The sequence below is a fragment of the Homo sapiens genome, chromosome 11 (genome assembly GCF_000001405.40).
Source record: "Homo sapiens chromosome 11, GRCh38.p14 Primary Assembly".
NCBI lineage: Eukaryota > Metazoa > Chordata > Mammalia > Primates > Hominidae > Homo > Homo sapiens.
Window position 1 is genome coordinate 77,012,969 of NC_000011.10, and position 20,460 is coordinate 77,033,428.

At 39.5% G+C, this 20,460-nt stretch overlaps 1 protein-coding gene and 1 long non-coding RNA gene across 9 annotated transcripts in view, besides 1 other annotated feature; one reads left to right on the top strand and one right to left on the bottom strand.

Annotated features, from left to right (window-relative positions):
• The window catches only part of ACER3 (alkaline ceramidase 3), a 165,880-nt gene extending 152,051 nt beyond the window's left edge, over positions 1–13,829 (top strand). For 5 of the 8 annotated variants that reach the window (NM_018367.7, NM_001300954.2, NM_001300955.2 and 2 more), the window contains 4 exons: positions 2,048–2,149; positions 3,707–3,811; positions 6,763–6,808; positions 7,306–13,829. In NM_018367.7, coding sequence (NP_060837.3) covers positions 2,048–2,149; positions 3,707–3,811; positions 6,763–6,808; positions 7,306–7,359 — 307 coding nt within the window. In that variant the 3' untranslated portion in view covers positions 7,360–13,829. Of the gene's footprint in view, positions 1–2,047; positions 2,150–3,706; positions 3,812–6,762; positions 6,809–7,305 lie in introns of those variants that run through there. The other 3 variants (XM_011545151.3, XR_007062489.1, XM_047427235.1) reach the window with 3 other exon arrangements.
• The window catches only part of ACER3-AS1 (ACER antisense RNA 1), an 80,139-nt gene that overhangs the window by 57,423 nt on the left and 2,256 nt on the right, over positions 1–20,460 (bottom strand). The gene's annotated exons all lie outside the window — the stretch shown is intronic.
• Positions 11,972–12,021: a silencer, noted in NCBI's record as "silent region_3794". NCBI's record gives its function as "represses an Ori minimal core promoter by ATAC-STARR-seq in GM12878 lymphoblastoid cells {active_cell/tissue: GM12878}" and the evidence as "EXISTENCE:reporter gene assay evidence [ECO:0000049][PMID:35858748]".

The following is a 20,460-nucleotide window of genomic DNA, read 5'->3' on the forward strand; positions in this document are numbered from 1 at the left end:
CATACTGACCTGATTTTCAACAAATATGTCAAGGTAATTCAGTGGAGAAAGATAATCTTTTCAACAAATTGTGCTGGAACAAATGAATATTCTTAGGACCAAAAAAAATGAATTTCAACCTCACACCAATATAAAAATTTAATAGAAGTGAGTTCTATTTCCAAATGTAAATTATATCTCAAAATGTAAAAACTAAGATTATAGAACTTCTAAAAGAAAATATAGGAGATATTTTTGGTTCGGCAAAGATTTATTAATAAAAAGCACAAACTATAGAAAAAAATTGACAAACTGAACTTCATCAAAATTTCAAACTTTGTTCTTCAAAATATAGTATTCAGAAAATAAAAGGCAAGCCACAGACTTGGAGAAACTACTTGCAAAATATATATCCAACAAAGTACCTACATGTAAAATATAGAAAGAATTCTTAAAACTGAATAATAAGAAGGCAAACAATAATGTATCAAAGAAGATGTATGGGTAGTAAATAACTACGTGAAAGATGCTCAAAAACATTAGTCATTAGGGAAATGCAAATTAAAACCACAATGAGATACCACTACATACCTACTAAAACAGCTAAAATGAAAAAGACTGACTTCAAACCAAGTGCTGATGAAGATGTGGAACATCTGGAACACTTATACATGCCTGGTGGGAATGTAAAATGGTACAGTCACTTAGGAAAACAGTGTAGCAGTATCTTGAAAAATTAAATATTCACCTGCCATACAATACAGCCATTCTTCTCCTAGCTATTTACCCAAGAAAAATTAAAACATATGTCTATATAAAGTGTTATTTGTGAATGTTCATAGCTGCTTTATTTGTAACAGTCAAAAACTGGAAACCCGCATTTGGACAGAGAAACAAATTGTGCTGTGACCATACAATGGAGTACCTACTCAACAATAAAGGGAAATGAAGTATTGATAACATAGTAACATAGATGAATCTCAAAGAATTATGTCAAATGAAAGAAGCTATACAATCAGGGGTATATATGGTATGATTCCATTTATATAGCATTCTAAAAAATGCAAATTGAGCTTTTGGAGGTGGTGGATATCTTGATTGTGGTGGTGGTTTCATGGGTATGTACAGATGTACTGATCAGATAGACAATTTAAATATATTTAATAGTTTAAATGTAAGTCAGTTATACCTCATTGAAGCTATAAAACATAGGTAAGCTGATACTATTTTCAGTACCTCACCAAGCTTCAATTTTCTCATCAGTGAAGTAAAAATAATAATACCTGCCTCACAGGGATTTTTTTAACATTTTGTGTGTGGTATGTGTGTGCATGCGCACCCATCCACAATACCTCCGTATCACTCCTTATCAGGCCTTATTTTTCTTCAAAGCAATTATAATTATGTATTTAATTGTTTACCTCCCCCAACTATACTGTAAATTCTTTGAGAACAAAAACTTTACCTATTGACCACTACCTTCCCAAATGCTTACAACAATGCCTGGTACACAGTAAGTACTCCATATGTATTAAGTGATTTAATGAATGAATGTGTGTGTGTGTATGTGTAACTACATTGCCTTACATGGAGCATATGACTCAACCTACATTGATAGCTAATCCACTATCACCCTGCCTTTTCCATGGGACCAAAAAAGTTATCAGGTACTTTCCCAATACATTTATTAAAGTCTGGTGGCTTATTTCTCAGCACCTTTTATTGGCTACATATAGTAGGCAAATTATTAGAAAATTTGATAGGTCTGCTTTTACTATAAACAAAAACTGTTCCTTCTCATGAAAGTGATGTCTTCTAGCCAGGCATGGTAGCACATGTCTATTTTCCCAGCTATTTGGGAGACTGAGATGGGAGGATACCCTTGAGCACAGGAATTCGAGGCTGGAATGTACAATGATCACATCTGTGAATAGCCACTGCACTCCAGCCTGGGCAACATAGTGAGATCCCAGCCCTTATAAAAAAGGAAGAAAGTGATGGCTTCAATTTCTGATCGTGACATGACTTGAGAAAATTTTATTTTGCTTTTCTGTTTTCCCCCCCACAGGGTTTATCCATGGCTTAGAGGACTGGGTTATACATCATTGGGTATATTTTTATTGGGATTTTTATTTTGGAATATAGATAACATATTTTGTGAGTCACTGAGGTAAGATATATTTTCATTCCTTCAGAAATATTTTTGGAAGCATTTTATTAAGTAGAGAATTTTATAAACATATAGAAATAGTAGTGCCCTGAAATGAATTTTTACTATTGTTGACATTTAAAAGATATATACAGTATAATAAAGTTAGACTATTAGAATACCTGTTTAAATTACCTAAAATTTTGGACCTGAGACTATTTCATAACCTCTGTAGGGTTTGGGTTTTGTGTGTGTGGGCATCAAAGAACTATATAGTTAATCAAATGTTGACTATTCCTTTGAAACATGCCTGATCTGTTTCATTGAATAAAGAAGACTGATTTGTAATAAGCATATGAAATATATGTATATAAATATACACTTTCATATGCTTAATGTTATTTTCTAAAAAAGCAAGTGTTCCTTTTACCATCTTGTCAGCAATCATATATTGACAGGAGTTTGAATCTTAGACTTAGGTCTCTGGATTCTAGTCTGTCATTAAGACACTGTCTTTCTGGCCCTCTTTTCCATGAAATGAGCATGCTGAACAGGTTAAACAGGTGGGTCATTCCAACTCTAAATCCTGTGAACTAACAATTTTGCATAAACAGAGAAGAGAGGAGGGTACTGAACAGTACTACAGGAAGGCAATCAACAAAATTCAGACTGTGAGAAATCTACAGAATGAATGACCTGGTCTCTTCGACAAATAAATTGCAGAGGCACAGCCAGGCGTGGTGACTCATGCCTGTAATCTTAGCACTCTGGGAGGCCGAGGGGGCGGATCACTTGAGGTCAGGAGTTCAAGACCAGCCAGGCCAACATGGTGAAACCCTGTCTTTACTAAAAATACAAAAATTAGCTGGGCCTGGTGACGTGTGCCTGTAATCCCAGCTACTTGGGAGGCTGAGGCAGGAGAATCGCTTGAACTGGGGAGGCGGAGGTTGCAGTGAGCCGAGATCGTGCTACTGTACTCCAGCCTGGGCGACAGAGCAAGACTCCGTCTCAGGGAAAAAAAAAAAAAAAAAAATTTGCAGAGGCAGGAAAAAAGAGGGAAGAGGAACCTATAGATTAAGAGCCTTAGATATATCCAACCAGATACAATGTGTTGGCCTTTTTTGGATTCTGATTCAAACAAACCAACTATTTAAAAAAATAAAGTATGAGAAATTTGGAACTTCAATCAGTAACCGAATCTTTTATGATATTAAGGGAGTATTATTATTATCTTTAGGTGTGAAAATGTGGTTATGTTTTAGGGAGGTTTTCATATTTTAGAAATACATACTAAATATTTATAAATAAAATGACATAGTATCTGGGATTTGCTTCAAAAAGATATGAGAGAGAGAAGTGGCTGAGGGTTTAGATGACACAGATTGACCATAAATTATCATTGTTGAATACTGTTCCTCAGAATGTACTTTGGATAACAATGTGGCAGACTACAGGAAACTTAAGGCAATTAAATAACTGCTGTTTTGAGAATGATATTTCAAAATGCTCTAAGACTATCAGCGTTAGTCGCTAAATATTTTAAAAATTTAACGTGATTTTCTCCCTCTCTCCACACAGGAACTTTCGAAAGAAGGTACCACCTATCATAGGTATTACCACACAATTTCATGCATGGTGGCATATTTTAACTGGCCTTGGTTCCTATCTTCACATCCTTTTCAGGTAGGAAATAGAGACTTTTTTAGCCTCGTACTAGAGTTTGTTGTTTTTTTTTTTCTTTACTCTTTAAATAGGATGTAAATATTTTTAAAACACTAGAAAATTCACAAACATGAAAATTAAATAGTACACTCTTGAACAACCGCTGGGTCAAAGAAGAAGTCAAAAAATTAGAAAATACCTTGAGACAAGTGAAAACAAAAATACAACATACCAAACTTATGACATGCAGCAAAAGCAATACTAAGAGAAGTTCACAGAAATTAATGTCACATTTAAAAGGAAGAGAGATCTCAATGAAACTTTACACCTCAAAGAACAAGGAAAAGAACAAATTAAGCCCAAATTTGGCAGAAGGAAAGAAATAACATGGAGCAGAAATAAACAAAATAGAAAAATTTTTAAAAATCTGTGAAACTAAGAGTTGGGGTACTGAAAGATCACCAGAATTGACAAACCTTAGCAAGACTAACAAAAAAAGAGAGAGAAGACTCAAATACATAAAATCAGAAATAAAAGAAGAGACATTACAATGCTGCCACAGAGATAAGAAGAATCCCACAATTATATGCCAACCAATTGGATGACTTAAAAGAAATGGACAATATCCTAGAAACAGAACCTACCAAGAGTGAGTTGTGAAGAAATAGAACAGACCTCTAACTAGGTCAAAACATTCATAAAAGAAATTAAGCAAAACGCAAACAAATGAAAAGACATCCTGTATTCATGGATTAAAAGACAAAGCTGTTAAAATGTTCATACTACCCAAAGCCATCCACAGATCCAATGCAATCTCATTTAGAATTCCAAAGGCATTTTTTTACAGAAATAGAAAAAATAATTCCAACATTCATATGCAACCACAAAAGGCCACAGGTAGCCAGATCAATCTTGAAAAAGAGCAGACATGAAACATCACACTTCTTGATTTCAAAATAAACAAGCATGCATAACTTTTTCTTTTGTTTGTACTTTTCAGGTATTGTGTTTTTTACAAGTAGAAAGTTTGTGGCAGTCCTGCATTAAGCAAGTTTATAGGTGACATTTTTCCAGCAGCATGTGCTCACTTCATGTTTCTGTGTCTTATTTTTGTAATTCTGACAATATTTCAAACTTTATTATTATTATTATATCTGTTATGGTGATCTGTGATCAGTGATCTTTTTTTTTTTTTTTTTTTTTTGGGAGACAGAGTCTCCCCCAAGCTGGAGTGCAGTGGCACTATCTTGGCTCACTGCAACCTCCATCTCCTGGGTTCAAGTGATTCTCCTGCCTCAGCCTCCCAAGTAGCCAGGATCACAGGCAATGCGCCACCCTGCCTGGCTAATTTTTGTGCTTTTAGTAGAGACAGGCTTTCACCATGTTGGTCATACTGGTCCCAAACTCCTGACCTCAAGTGATCATCCCACCTCAGCCTCCCAAAGTGCTGGGATTACAGTTGTGAGCCAAGGTGCCTGGCCTGTGATCAGTGATCTTTGATGTTACTATTGTAATTGTTTTGAGGCACCACAAACCATGCACATAGAAGACGGTGAACTTAATAAATGTATGTTTTGACTGCTCCACCAATTGGCCATTCCCCAGTCTCTTTCCTTCTCCTCCAGCCTCCCTAATTCCCTAAGAGAAAGCAAAATTAAAAATAGGCCAATTAATAACCCTACAGTGGCCTCTAAGTGTTCAAGTGAAAGGAAGAGTTACACATCTCTCACTTTAAACCAAAAGCTAGAAATGATTAAGCTTAGTGAGGAACGTATGTTGAAAGCTGAGATAGGCCAAAAGGTAGGCCTCTTGTGCCAAACAGTTGGCCAAGTTGTGAAGGCAAAGGAAAGTTCTTGAAGGAAATTAAAAGTGCTACTCCAGAGAACACACGAATAGTGAAAGTGACACAGCCTTATTTCTGATGTGTAGAAATTTCTAGTAGTCTGGATAAAAGATCAGACCAACCACAACATTGCCTTAAGCCAAGGCCTAATCCAGATCAAGGCCCCAACTCACTTCAGTTCTGTGAAGGCTGACAGAAGTGAGGAAGCTGCAGAAGAAAAGTTTGAAGCTAGCAGAGGTTGGTTCATGAGGCTTAAGGAAAAAAGCCATCTCCATAACATAAAAGTGCAAGGTGAAGCTGCAGCAAGTTATCCAGAAGATCTAGCTGAGATTATTGATGAAAGTGGTTACACTAAACAACAGAGTTTCAGTGTAGATGAAACAGCCTTCTATTGGAAGAAGATACCATCTAGGATTTTCATAGCTAGAGAAGAGAAGTCAATGCGTGGCTTCAAAGCTTCAAAGGACAGGTTGTGACGCTCTTGTTTGGAGTTAATGTAGCTGATGACCTTAAGTTGAAGTCAGTGCTCATTTTCTATTTTGAAAGTCCTATGGCCCTTAAGAATTATGCTAAATGTGGCCGGGCGCGGTGGCTCACGCCTGTAATCCCAGCACTTTGGGAGGCCGAGGCGGGTGGATCACAAGGTCTGGGGTTCGAGACCAGCCTGACCAACATGGTGAAACCCCGTCTCTATTAAAAATACAAAAATTATCTGGGCGTTGTGGCAGGCGCCTGTAATCCCAGGTACTCAGGAGGCTGAGGCAGGAGAATTGCTTGAACCTGGGAGGCGGAGGTTGCAGTGAGCCGAGATTGCGCCACTGCACTCCAGCCTGGGTGACAGAGCAAGACTCCATCTCAAAAAAAAAGAATTATGCTAAATATACTCTGCTTGTGCTCTATAAAATGGAACAACAAAGCCTAGATTACAGCACATCCATTTACAGCATGGTTTACTGAATATTTTGAGTAGATGCTCAAAAAAAAAACAGTTGCTGAACAAATGAAGCATATACTCATGTTGTTTTTGCTTCGTACATGCAGAAGCACTATGGTTACGTTTGTCAGTACGCCAGTTTGCATGAATTCAAAATGAATCTGAAAAGCTTTCCCCCTCCCACTTTTCTTTCAGTTTGTATACAAGAACACTTTACCTGAGATATAGGCCAAAAGTGAAGGTAAGTCCACTTCCTAGGTCCTGTGTGTGTGTTGGGGGTATGGTACTGGGAGTATAGGATGGAGGTGGAAGAAGAAAGGGGAGTTTGGAGAGGTAGTGGAGCAAACACAGGCTTTGGAACCAAAGGCTGTGAATCTTTCATTTACTACTGCATGTTCTTGGACAAATCTCTTTAAGCCTTAGTTTCTTCAACAATAAAATTAAGCTGCTAATAACTACATTGCAGAGTTATTTTAAAGATCAGAGATAATTTATATGCCCAGCTCCATGCTTGACAAAGTCAAAGCTTAATAAATGTAAATAAACTCAATAAAAATACTCTCTGATATCTGGTCCAAGTCTAGAAGGAATAAACTGTGCTCAGGCTGCTAATACCAGGACAATCACTAGCAAACCTACGTATAGTCATAGCCCCATGGATTCTTTCTCATTCTTTTTCAGGGATAACATGGAACAATTCTGTCTTTTCTCATTTTGTCCTAATTTGTCCCCAAACAGTTTCTCTTTGGAATCTGGCCAGTGATCCTGTTTGAGCCTCTCAGGAAGCATTGATGAATCATTCCACCAAGAAAACAAACAAGCACCTACCATAGACCTGGCAGAATAAATAAGGAAATCCTTAAAGATCTACAAGTTCAAATATGTCATGACCATCACAGCAGAGGAGTGACTTTCTGACTAATGCTGCCACCCACACAGAGAATAAGGAGTAGGGCCTGCTGGGTGTTTAGCTCATGGCTTTATCTTATTTGTCCCCCTCCTCCTTTCACGCTCCAGTTTATAAAGAAACAGAGATGATGTGTGTGTATGCCTCAAATGCAGAAACAGTTGGGCTTTTCTTAACAGGTTAACAGTTTGTGCTGGTTATAAGAAATTAACCTTCTTTTCTTTTTGCCAAGGGTTGCATGTGAATTATACCTTTCTTAATATTTGATTAAATAATGCAGTCAGCTAAGAGCCAACAAAACCCCATATCCAGATAGTTAGCTGTGAGCCAGCACTCAGCTGTGTCAGATTTGATTAATATTGTATTAATCTCATGGATGGTTCTCAAAGGTAAAAAAAGAGAGAGAAAGAGAGAGAGCTAGCTGTGGGATTCTGTGTAGTTCTTCACTATCTGTTCCAGGGCTAGTCGGAGGATCATAAGCAAGCTCAGACCTGCCCCCAGTTCAGTACTTGACCACATCCCAGGATTTATGGTGTCTGTCTATGGCCACAGCCAACCAGAATGAGTGGGTCATCTTATAACCTTTCTGAAGCTCCATGAGGACATGTATAGAATGCTGCACCTTCAGCCAGCTCTGCTCTGATCTTTGCAGATCTTTAAGTTGTCACTGTTTCTACGGCTAGACAAATATGACTGGTGGTCTAGACTACCCATAGTTCATCCTCCTCACATAACTTATTTGAAGTTGTCAGGGAATGTCATTACACTCTGATTTTTAAAATTATGCAGTATTTTCCAGTTCTCAGAGAGGTCATGGTTGTGCCCAGGGAAGTGTGTTGCATTAACTAAAGCTAAAATTATCAGAATCCTATTTACATAAAGCATATTAAAATATCTGCTCCTTAATTTTCTGAAGGAAATAGATGTAAGTTTCTGCTACTTGAAACCTACAGAACCGACAAAAATTAGGGTGCTAAAAAAATGACAGTGAAATCTCATCGTAAGGCAGCTAGTTCTAATTTGCATTTGAATGTATAACAAATTGCATCACTTTTCACAAACTTAACACCTGCCTGGAGTAAAAATCTGATTTGACCCCTCTGCTCATGTTTCATCATATTTGTAGCTCTGCATCATTTAGCATTTTTATGACTTTTTTTGCTTTATATAAATTATTGTAAAATCCAGATTGTTTTTACCACATGATGACGTGACTCAGGATTAAATCCTGAGCTACAGTTTCAAAAGGAAAATCATTTTTTTCTTATGCAAAGATGGTAAAACACTGTTGTCATTTTTTCCAGTATTCAATAAGTAGCCTTTGTACAAATTTAAAACCAAAAACTATTCTGTTGTTTTTCTTCACCTACTAGCCTTAGTTTTTAACCAAGTATCCAAGGATGTCAACTTGACATCCTTCCCTTAGCATGCCAACAAGCCATTAGACTGATTCTTCCACCTATTTTTATGAACCTCCAGGAAGAAAAACACTTGCCAAAACATTAAGAGAACTTTGATTCTGCCTTAAGAGGGTATAAAACTAAACCATTTGAAGGCACAGCCCATAAGACTATACTTGATTTTGCCCCAAGATTCTGACTTCTGGCTACATTTCACCTGCAGTTACCTGGGCTATCGGCCGTGATACATTTTTTAATTCATTTGTTTTCCACCATTATATTTTTATACTTTTCAGTTAGATATACTTCTGCATAAAGAGTATATATACAGTGTAGGATAAAGGCATATCGTACATGGCAATGCTGTTAAACATGGTAAGACTGAGGTTCTGCAGGATTAAAGTCAGATTAAGGGTACAGAAAGCACACCTTGATACTGAGGCCATTTAGAGCAATTTGTTTAATGAGTGGTTCAGCCATCACCACCAGTGGCCACCTGTTCAATAAAATTGCCTAGCACCACAGTGGAGAGTCATCTACACCCCAAGGTGAGCTGTAAGACTGGCCAATTCTTTGAAGACCTTTTTTTCTGTTGGGAGAATGGAAAGCAGAAAGGGAAGCCAGGCTCTTTAATGTTCCAAGTCAGCTGTGCCTCACACAAGGCTCTCTTTTTAGCTACTAAGTAACATACTCAAGACTTTGTATCTGTGCAGCATTTTATGGAAATCACTGGTGACCTATAGGATATTACTAAATTATTTCAATAGCTTTATTTTTTTCCTACTTGGATTCTAGGTGGACATTACAGAGTTGAATTCCTCACTACCCCCTCCCGCTGTCATTTGTTTTATTGGAAAACTTCATGTTAACTAGAGTGTACAAAAAGTCTGTTTCCTGCTGAGCCAATAGTGATTTGTTTGCATATCACCTAATGTGAAAAGTGCTCATCTGTGAACTCTACAGCAAATTATATTTTAGAAAATACTTTGTGAGGCCGGGCATGGTGGCAGAGCGAGACTCCGTCTCAAAAAAAAAAAAAAAAAAAAAAAAGAAAAGAAAAGAAAATATAAGGATGTAAAAGAAGCAATTTGCTTGCACATCTGAATATCCTTCTTGTGCCTCCATTTTCACTCTTGAAAACTGAAAGCAATTTGACTTTTATTTTTGTTTTTCTAAAGAACAGCTAGGTGAAAGGAGGTTAAGCTGATTGTCACTCTGCCTGCCCACTACCTACTCCCCACCATGGTGTTTCATGAAACATCCCCACCACCTGAAGTGATCTTTTTAATCCTTGTGATAGTAAATGCATTGATAATTAACAGGAAAAACATGTTTTTAAATAATCTACAAATGAGAACCCAAATAGTAGTGTTTTGTTTGACAGAAGTAAATCAAATATTATGGTTTAAATATAATGCAAAATTTCAGGACAGTTAATTTGGACTTCCCTTACCCTAAGAGGGTTTTTCTTATAATAAGGAGAAGAGGTGTGGTTCAAAGAAAATTAAGAGACAAAACCTTCAGGTACATAATGCATGAAAATCTTTAAATGCCTGCAAAAATTAAGTTCTGTTATAATACCAGCCAATTCTGAATTAGCCAATGCCCTAAAAGCATCTAACAATTTAAGGTTATCTTATGAGTCCTATGAAAACAATTATTTGTTGCTAAATTTGAGTTTTAGCTACCAACGCCATGTTTACGTGACAAGAAATTGTTTTGGCCCTGTGGTTTATGACGTGCTGCTGGATAAGCATTTATGTAAAACTGAGTATTTCAAAGAGAACCATTTACAATTGGAATTTCCACCTGTGTGGCTGTTTGCAGACCTACCTCTGTCTTCCATTTTGCATCCTGTCAGTGCTATAATTAGTTTGATCACTTTGTCTTGTTTTTCAGTGTCTACAATTATAGCTTATTCACTATGTTCTAACTATTTAAAAATAATGGGCCGGGCGCGGTGGCTCATGCCTGTAATCCCAGCACTTTGGGAGGCCGAGGTGAGCAGATCACAAGGTCAGGAGATCGAGACCATCCTGGCTAACACAGTGAAACCCCGTCTCTACTAAAAATACAAAAAAATTAGTCGGGCATGGTGGCGGGCGCCTGTAGTCCCAGCTACTCGGGAGGCTGAGGCAGGAGAATGGCGTGAACCTGGGAGGCAGAGCTTGCAGTGAGCCAAGATTGTGCCACTGCACTCCAGCCTGGGCAACAGAGCGAGACTCTGTCTCAAAAAAAAAAAAAAAAAAAAAAAAAAAAGACTAAAATTTGATTTAAAGTAGTTAAACCCCTTTATGGAAGGAGCTGCAAAATGAAAAAAAAAAAAAAAAGGAATCATGTCATCTTGACCCAGCTGACTGGAAATTTTCAATACTGTCTTTTAACTGTTGTACTCCAGCCAGCCTGGGCAACAGAGTGAGACCCTGTCTCAAAAAAAAAAAAAAAAAAAAAAAAAAAAAGAATTAGGAAATACTTGTTAAAATATCTAACTACGTAATTGCTACATGGGGGAGCTGCTGGTGTTGTTGAGGTCCTTGGGAGCATTCCACTGGACTTCACCATTTCTCCAAAATTATCAGCCCAGTCAGCTTCATATACCCAGATATGGACACTTCTACACGTGAAATTCAAACTGAAGATAAAACTCTGACTTTGGAGTATAAACTTTTGCCTTGAGTATGAAACCTTGACATTGCTGAAAGAAAAGTGGAAACTGTAAGGGACAACAAGTTTCACCAAGGCACAGTCTTCTCTGATAGGCCAGCAGAGCAGCTAAGGAGAAGACAGATCATTCAAGAACTTAAGTCGTTTGTTAGCTACAGCATTTCCATTGCTGTGATACACATTCAGCCATTTTGGAGGAAAGCTAAGCAGGTTCTGACCACCCATTTTCATGTACTTTAAATAACAAATATTATTTCTCAAGGTCTTCATTTTATCATTAAATTCAGCTAATTACTACCTGATTTCAAAGGCAGCTAGTGTAGAAGACTGGTCACAAGAATTTTTTTTTAAATAGAAAACCCTAAAATGCAAATCAAGAAATTCAGTTACAGGCTGCAAGTGACCTAAAATTCCCCTACTCTAGCTCAGCAGCCATCAGTCAGTATAGCATCAGCCACAGGTCACTGCTCTGCATACAGTTCCTTTTCAACCCTTACAAGACCTGCTTCATTGCTTTAAAAATGTAGTGTTGATACTTGAACTGAATTTAGTCATTGGTAACTTAAATATTCACAAAATTGTCATAAAGCTTCTGAAACATCTGGCAATGCCAGATCTGTAATCATCACTTTTAAATTGAATTTGCAGAATTAACTCTAAAGTTGCAGCAACCATATTTATTAGAGAAATCTTTAAGCATATACATATGGTTCCCTATAAGCATTCATTCAGAGATCATCTGTGCCTAAAAGAAAATGATAAAAATGTGTCATAATATCAAAGGGGTCTAGATCAGGGGTTGGTAAACTACAACCCATGGGCCAAATTCAGGCTGCGTTGTATGGCCTGCAAGGTAAGAATGGTTATTTTATTTTATTTTATTCTTTATATATATATATATATATTTATTTATTTTTTTGAGACAGAGTCTCTCTCTGTCACCCACGCTGGAGTGCAGTGGCAGGATCTCAACTCATTGCAACCTCCGCCTCCCAAGGTTCAAGCGATTCTCCTGCCTCAGCCTCCCGAGTAGCTGGGACTACAGGCACATGCCACCATGCCACCATGCCTGGCTGATTTTTGTATTTTTAGTAGAGCTGGGTTGGCCAGGCTGGTCTTGAACTCCTGACCTCAAGTGATTCACCTGCCTTGGCCTCCCAAAGTCCTGGAATTACAGGCGTGAGCTACCGTGCCCAGCTGGTTTTTACATTTTAAAAACGTTTAGAGAAAGAAGAATATGCAACAGAAACTGTATGTAGCCTGCAAAGCCTAAAATGTTTACTCTCTGGCTTGGGAGTTTGTCTCCCCTGCTCTAGACTGTCAGCAAGTGGTACAGTGGTACAGTACAGTGGTACTGCCCAACTGCACTTCTCTGCAAGGTGATTCTAGTGTGCACTTGTCAGAATGAAAATATGTTATTCATTTAAGACATCTCATGTCTTTGAATGTAATCACATGATTTGTATTTAATATTTACATGACCTAATTATTTTTTCACGTCAGTTTTTCTAGATTGGCAATAGCCTGTTGCAAAGTGCCTAAACCTTTGAGAAAAATTACTATGAGCAAGGTCCATGATTTAGTTTTCAATATAAAGGGAATTCCATTCTATACTGTAAAATCCAAAAATGCTAGTTGCCCTCAGCTTTTGAGTTGACTTCCAGAAAGTTGAGATCTTTTGACCATTTTTTCTCATGTCATATAAAATGTGCCACATGGTAGTTGTCAAGCTGTGGTAGTCATGTACACTTTTTTTCTTTTTTTTAACTTTCTAAAAGGAAAAGTTCAAAGTCCTTTCCACAGTTAGTCTTCGCTTCTTTTGGATTTTTCTTTTTAGAGCTAAATTATTCATACCAATGAATAAGTGAGTCTGTTCTAAGATATAGGGGCCATTATCTATTTTTGCTTAATGGACTCATGTGGCATTGTTCACTATCATGCCTTTCCATACTTGTAATATTTCTGAGTCACTTATTAATGTGACCAACAGATAAACTGTTCAAGCTAATACAGCATTTCCTAACTTCATAGTTGTCGCAGATGTTTGTTCTAGTAGCGATTATTTAATAAACATACATTGTACTGAATCTTACTAGCAACTAACTATTTTCAGGTAATCTCAGTCTGCTTATTCACTTTTTCCATTTGATTTGCTAATGCCACAATCATTTTTCTAGAAAATAGTAGGATAATGTATTTTTTCCTGTCTGCTATAATGGAGACTATATTTCTGCATTCATTACCTCTCATAGGTGAAAATATTAAATTAAATAATATTGTTTTGAATAAGACTACTGGTAGTGTTTCATCCCTGATTTATATTTTTAAAATCTATACATTCATATAAAGGCAGGGCTACCGTGTGTAATTATAGAGTTTACGTACTACACAAAGGCACCCAGTTGAGAGAGGAAGGAGGGTGAATGAGAGGCTGAAATCTAGCCTGTGCTCAGCCTGCCAAAGATAGGGTTACATCTCAGAGGACACATCTTTTCCCAGTTTGCTTAAGCTGGCAGTATAGGCCAGCAGCAAGCCTCTTCATGGAAATGACATCCAGTCATTATCCTGGGAATTCTTTGTCACTGGGCTCCTAACACTGTACTGCAGTACCTTTCTACTCCAAACCTGAGTATGTTACAAGGTTAAAAGCTAATAATTTTTTAATTAAACATTTATATCTTTAAATACTCAGTATCTTCAACTTTAGGAGCTGTGAAGTAAACACGAACCATCCAGCTTCACACAATGAAGAGGGACAGATCAGGAACAGAAAAAATGGTCCTGCATAAGCCATGTGTGTCTGTGGTTTATAACTTTTAACTGAAGTACCATCTACAAGATATAAAACAAATTAGAATTTCCCATAACTCACCTAGTTCCTCAAACCACAGCTTTTCAAATATTAGCTTTCTTAGCCAAGCCTGCTGGAATGGGTGGTTTTAGTCATTGCTGACCATATGGTTGATTCTTCAGCTAGTCCCTCCTTTGTGTGTCAGGGTGGGGCAGCCTTGCCTGGATGAACAGATGGATGCTAGCAAGAGGCGAAACAGGAATCTTTACCTGACAAAACACAGACATGAGTGTGCAAAGCCATTTGGGCTGTGCTTTGTGAAGGGAATGGCTGAAAAGGAGTTTGGATGGCTTTATTTCACCCTGAACAGTACACACCCGCCTAAGAAAGGCATCTGTCATTTGATTTAGCAAATTTTATGAACTTACTCTGGGCTTCTCTCTAGTGCAGTTCTGGGGTGGCCTTTTCAGCTCTTTTTTTCTTTCTTTCGCCCTGGACTGGAATGCAGTCTAACTCAAGTGGGTCTTCTTAGGTGACAGAGAAAACACGACCTGTCTCACTTGACAGGGTGGCCTAGTCCCAAAGTAAGGCTTGATTCTCAAAGGAAATGAGAAAGCAGAAAATGGGGGGATCCATTTATTGAGCCCTACTATGTGCCATCCATTCAATAAACTGGAAGGTCTGTTTTAGGTGCTAGGAGTACAATGAAAAATAAGACAGATACCTGCCCTCATGGCACTTAGTGTCTCAAAAGTAATTTTGCCAATTACATTTGGGATGAGTGTCATGAGGAAGGGTATAGAGAGTTCTCGGAGGGAATACGAGGGAGCTGGAGTAGGGAAGACATCCCTGAAGATGAATATCTACACCAAGAACTGAAGAACGAGAGGTATTAAGGAAAGTAGGGGAAAGGCCCTTTACAGCACAGGGAGCCAGAGGTGAGTTTCTGGAGAGATGGACTGGAATGACATCACATAGGGCTTTGAAAGCCATCTTACAAATTTGAATTTGGTTGTCCTGGTGCGGTGGCTCATGCCTGTAATCCCAACACTTTGGAAGACCAAGGTGGGAGGACTGCTTGAGGCCAGGAGTTCAAGACCAGCCTGGGCAACACAACGAGACCCCATCTCTACAAAAAAAATTTAAGTAGCCAGGTGTGGTGGCACTCACCTGTAGTTCCAGCTACTCAGGAGGCTGAGGTGGGAGGATCGCTTGAATCCAGGAGTTCCAGGCTGCAGTGAGCTTAAATCAACTGCACTCCAGCCTGGACAATAGAAACATCACCTTTGAAAGAAAAAAAAAGAATTTGAATTTGGAAAGCTCTGGAAAAGATGGAGGATGGATTAAAGGGAGCCAGTATGGATGTAGGGATACTAGATAGAGGAAGAATGGTGGATAGTGGCAGTGGAGATACGAACTCCAATATATCAGAGGTACATGGGAAGAAGGTTTAGGGTATTATAGAGTACACTTGGGATTTGCAGAGTTTGTAGACTGTGTGAGACATCCTGGCAGAGAGCTTAAAGATAATAAATGTCGATCTGGAGCTCAGCTGAGAGATCTGGGCTGAAGATGTAAATTTAAGAATGATGGGTCCGGGCACGGTGGCTCACGCCTGCAATCCCGGCACTTTGAGAGGCCAAGGTGGGTGGATCACGAGGTCAGGAGTTCGAGACCAGCCTGACCAACATGGCGAAACCCCGTCTCTACTAAAAAAAAAATACAAAAATTAGCCAGGCATGGTGGCACGCGCCTATAATCCCAGCTACTCGGGAGGCTGAGGAAGGAGAATCGCTTGAACCCCAGAGGTGGAGGTTGCAGTGAGCTATCATGCCACTGTACTCCAGCTTGGGCAACAGAGCAAGACTCCATCTCAAAAAAAAAAAAAAAAAAAGAATCATGGACACACATATTAATTGAAATGGAAATGGATGAGATCAGGGAAGAAAAGAGGGTCTCAGACTGAGTCCTAGAGGGTCTCAGACTGAGTCCTAGAAACCAAACCATTTAAGGATTAGGTAGAGGAATTTTTAAAGACAGAGCATCTCAAACCAAAGAGAATCACCAGACACTTGGAAAGGAAGCCTATTTGAAGGCCTGGGTTCTAGTTCCTCAAAGTCTGGATGTCCATGGCTGGGCTGGAGGCACAGTGGCTGTCAGCAGAGAGAGCTACATGGCTGAGGGGTAGAAGGCAATAACTCTCACAAGACACTGCATTGAAACAGCAGGCTCCAAGCTGGAGCCCACTGGCATTAACCCTGAGAGGGTACTTACTGTTAGAAAAGTTATCTCCTTTTGGGGCATCTGAAGACCTAGCTTAGGATCCTGGTCCTCCACTGAAAAGCTGTGTTGTTGTGGCCAAGTCACAACTAAATTTTGGGTTCTATATCTGTTAAATGCAGGATTGTCTTAGGGGTTAGCACCACGGTGTAGTATGAATCTAATCATAACAGTTTCTGAATGGTATCTTTCCTATAAGATTGCTTGGCCTGGGCTTGTAGGGGTACCTCAAAACTGGACAGACGAGAGGAGTCAACCCCTCTTCCCTCTCTCACTGACCAGTGCAACCTGGAACAAGGGACTATCCGGCCTTCTCCCCTTCCTGGTCATCAGGTGCTGGCCTGTGCTCACAGAACCTGTTTGCCTTCGAGGTGGAGATGGGTTTTTCTGCCTTATCCCGCCCCTGTTTTTCAGACTAGGGTGTGGCAGAACATGCACTGGACTGAGACTTTTTCTGCTGATTAAAACACCCACCCATTGTAAACGGGAAGGCTGAAAAGGCGTCAGAAGTGCGTTAATTCCGTCTCTGAACAGCACATACCTTTCCAAAGCCACCCTTGGCACTCACACCCACTACATATGTCTCACTAAGTTCCTCCCTGGCCATTCCAGAAACCTCCTGGAGAGGTCAGAGCTGTTTGTCTTAAAGTCTGTTCATTTTATTCCAATAATCTTACCCCCATTTAACTTTCTCTCCACTTCAAATCTTTCCCAAATTTCCCGAAAGATGTATCTGCCAAGGAGAAAAGATAAGTTTTTAGGGGGCTTGAAGAAAAGTTAACAAAATTCATTTAGTCATTCAGTCCACCTGCTCTGGACTCTCATGAGTGGGGCACAGACAGGGAGGAAAGTGGTCATGTCCCTCCCTGGGGCTGCTCTCTTGCCCTCATTTGTTCTCAGATTTAATTAGTACCCCCAGCTCCTTATTTAGTCCTTCTCCCACCATGAAGTTGCCTGTGAGTCTTAGGGCTTTCCTAATCCTCTAGCTGTATCTCACCATCCCCATCAGAAACCTGCACTCGGTCCCTCCCCTTCTCTCTCTCTTCCTCCCACCTCTTTCCCCCTTCATTCTTCTCATCCAGGCACCTCCCCCAGGTAAATTAGTAAGAGGGACGAGGAGCCTGAGAGATGAGAGATGAACATTCTCACAGAATGTCCACTAAGTCACCAAGCTATGAGGATGCTGTTTGGAATGAAACTATTCACGTTTCTCTATTACCGTTAAGGTAGCTACTGTCTCCAGCAGGTTCCATGGCAAGGAAGGTGTGTTTCCCTTCCACCTCAGCCTCCCTTCCTGAGATTACGAGGATCCTAAACAGTTGACCACTCTTTGGGGGTGTGTTGCCCCTTGAGCCAGGCATGCTGTCCCTGTGACCTGGGGTCTTAGTAGTGGTCAGGACTGTATCGGCTATAAATGACGAAGTCCTGGTGTCCAGCCAGAGTGAGGCAGCCAGGACAGTGTAGCTCTACCTCCATCTCACTACTGAGAGACATGAGCTATCACGCTCTAGGACAGCAGCATTCCTCCCGAGTAACAGTCAGAAAGGGGTGATCCGACATTGGGCTCTCTGTGTCAGTGAGTGGAGACAGGGGAAAGGATCTAACTGTCCAGCCCTAGCCGCTGGTGGAGTCACTTCACCGGAGTCCCACAGCGCCTCCCAAGAGTCAGGGCTGCTGCCGCCAGCACCTCCTTTGCTGCATTCCTTGCTGTGGTCGCTCCTGGTCCCCATCCCGACCCCTCAGATGTCAATTAGGGCACCCTGGAAAGAGAAGCAGCTGCCTGTGAATCCAGTATGCTGGAGGTCACTCCCAAAGTTTTTCCAGTAACAATTTGTAAGGTCAAAACAATAGGGGGCTACTTGATACCACCAAGAGTTTGTCAGGCAAACATTGAGAAAGAGAGAGAGAAGAGAGAGAGAGAGAGAGATCTTCCTATTTAGATACCTAGAAATGCTAGCCATTCTAAAATTTTTACTTAAAAGGAGAAAAAATGGACTGGTTATTTGGCAGTCGGGGCCATCCCAGAGAGCGCCTCCTTCCTAGAGACAGTGGGTCCCTTTCCTCCTTCCTCTTATCAACCAGAGGCTGAAATTAACACCCACAGCTTCTGCTGGCTAAAAGCCTCAAAAACAACAACAACAAAAATCAAACAAGAGAGACTAATGCTTTAGGCAGCTACAACTCCAAGAAAAGCAGAGAAACCTTATTTATTTATTTATTTATTTATTTATTTATTTATTTAACTCTGTTGACCAGGCCGGAGTGCAGTGGTGCTATCGTGGCTCACTGCAGCCTCAATCTTCCAGAATCAAGCAACCCTCCCACCTCAGCCTCCCAAATAGCTGGGACTGCAGGTGTGCATCACAACACCTGACTGATTTTTTTTTTTTTTTTTTTTTTTTTTGGTAGAGAAGAGGTTTTACTATGTTGCCCAGGCTGGTTGCAAACTACTGGGCTCAAGCAATTCACCCACTTGAGCTTCCTAAAGTGCTGGGATTATAGGTGTGAGCCACCATGACCAGCCTAGAACTTTAAACTTTAGGTACTGAGCAAACACCAAATCTAGGAAACATAATGCTAGCCTTAGATTACTTATTGATTTATGAACAAACCCCTAGATACAGAGGAAAATAAAAGGTATGTATAAATTATATATAAATAAATGTATATAATTTAAATATAAACTACATATAAAATAATGTATGTAAATAAATTATATACATATTTTAAAATAAATATAATAAATAGGCTGGGTGTGGGGGCTCACACCTGTAATCCCAACACTTTGGGAGGCTGAGGTGGGTGGATCACCTGAGGTCATGAGATTGAGACTGGCCTGGCCAACATGGAGAAACCCCATCTCTGCTAAAAATACAAAAATATTAGCTGGGTGTGGTGGTACATGCTTGTAATCCCAGCTACTCAGGAGGCTGAGGCAGGAGAATGGCTTGAACCCAGGAGGCGGAAGTTGCAGTGAGCCAAGATCAAGCCACTGCACTCCAGCCTGGGTGACAGAGCAAGACTCCGTCTCAAATAAATAAATAAATAAATATACATACATACATATATATATATATATATATATATATATATATATATATACACATACATACATACATATATATATATACATACATACATACATATATATATATACATACATACATACATATATATATATATGGCAAGCTGAATATATGCTATATTTTCCACAATTTGATTTAATTGGAAATTCAAGATTCCTAATTTATATACTAAAGAAGTTGTGTAACAAAAAGATTAAAAACAGCACTGATTGGTTTTTGCGCCTCTACAACATAGGTTCTAACTTAACATTTGTGAAAATGTACTAATTGTCAAAAATTCATGAACTTAATATTGGGGGTCAAAATATAATTATACCTGGGGATCCCACTAATTTACACACTCTGACCCTATAATCTTGAGAGGGTAACGACATATAACAGTTTTTAAATGCGTATGCCTCAATTTAAGTGTAGCCTTGCCTAAATTTCCCATGCTCATATACCCACTGCTATAAAATGTTTTCTATTGGACATAGATGCTTTGACAAAATAAATAATAAATTAGATTGGGCATGGTGGCTCATGCCTGTAATCCCAGCACTTAGGGAGACCAAGGCAGGAAGATCTCTTGAGCCCAGGAGTTCAAGACCAACCGGGGCAAAATGGCAAAACCCCATCTCAACAAAAAATACAAAAATTAACCATGTGTGATGATGTGTGCCTATAGTCCCAGCTACTCGGGAGGCTAAGATGGGAGGATCACCTGAGCCCAGGAGACTGAGGCTGCAGTGAGCCCTGATAGTGCCCCTGCACTCCAGCCTGGGA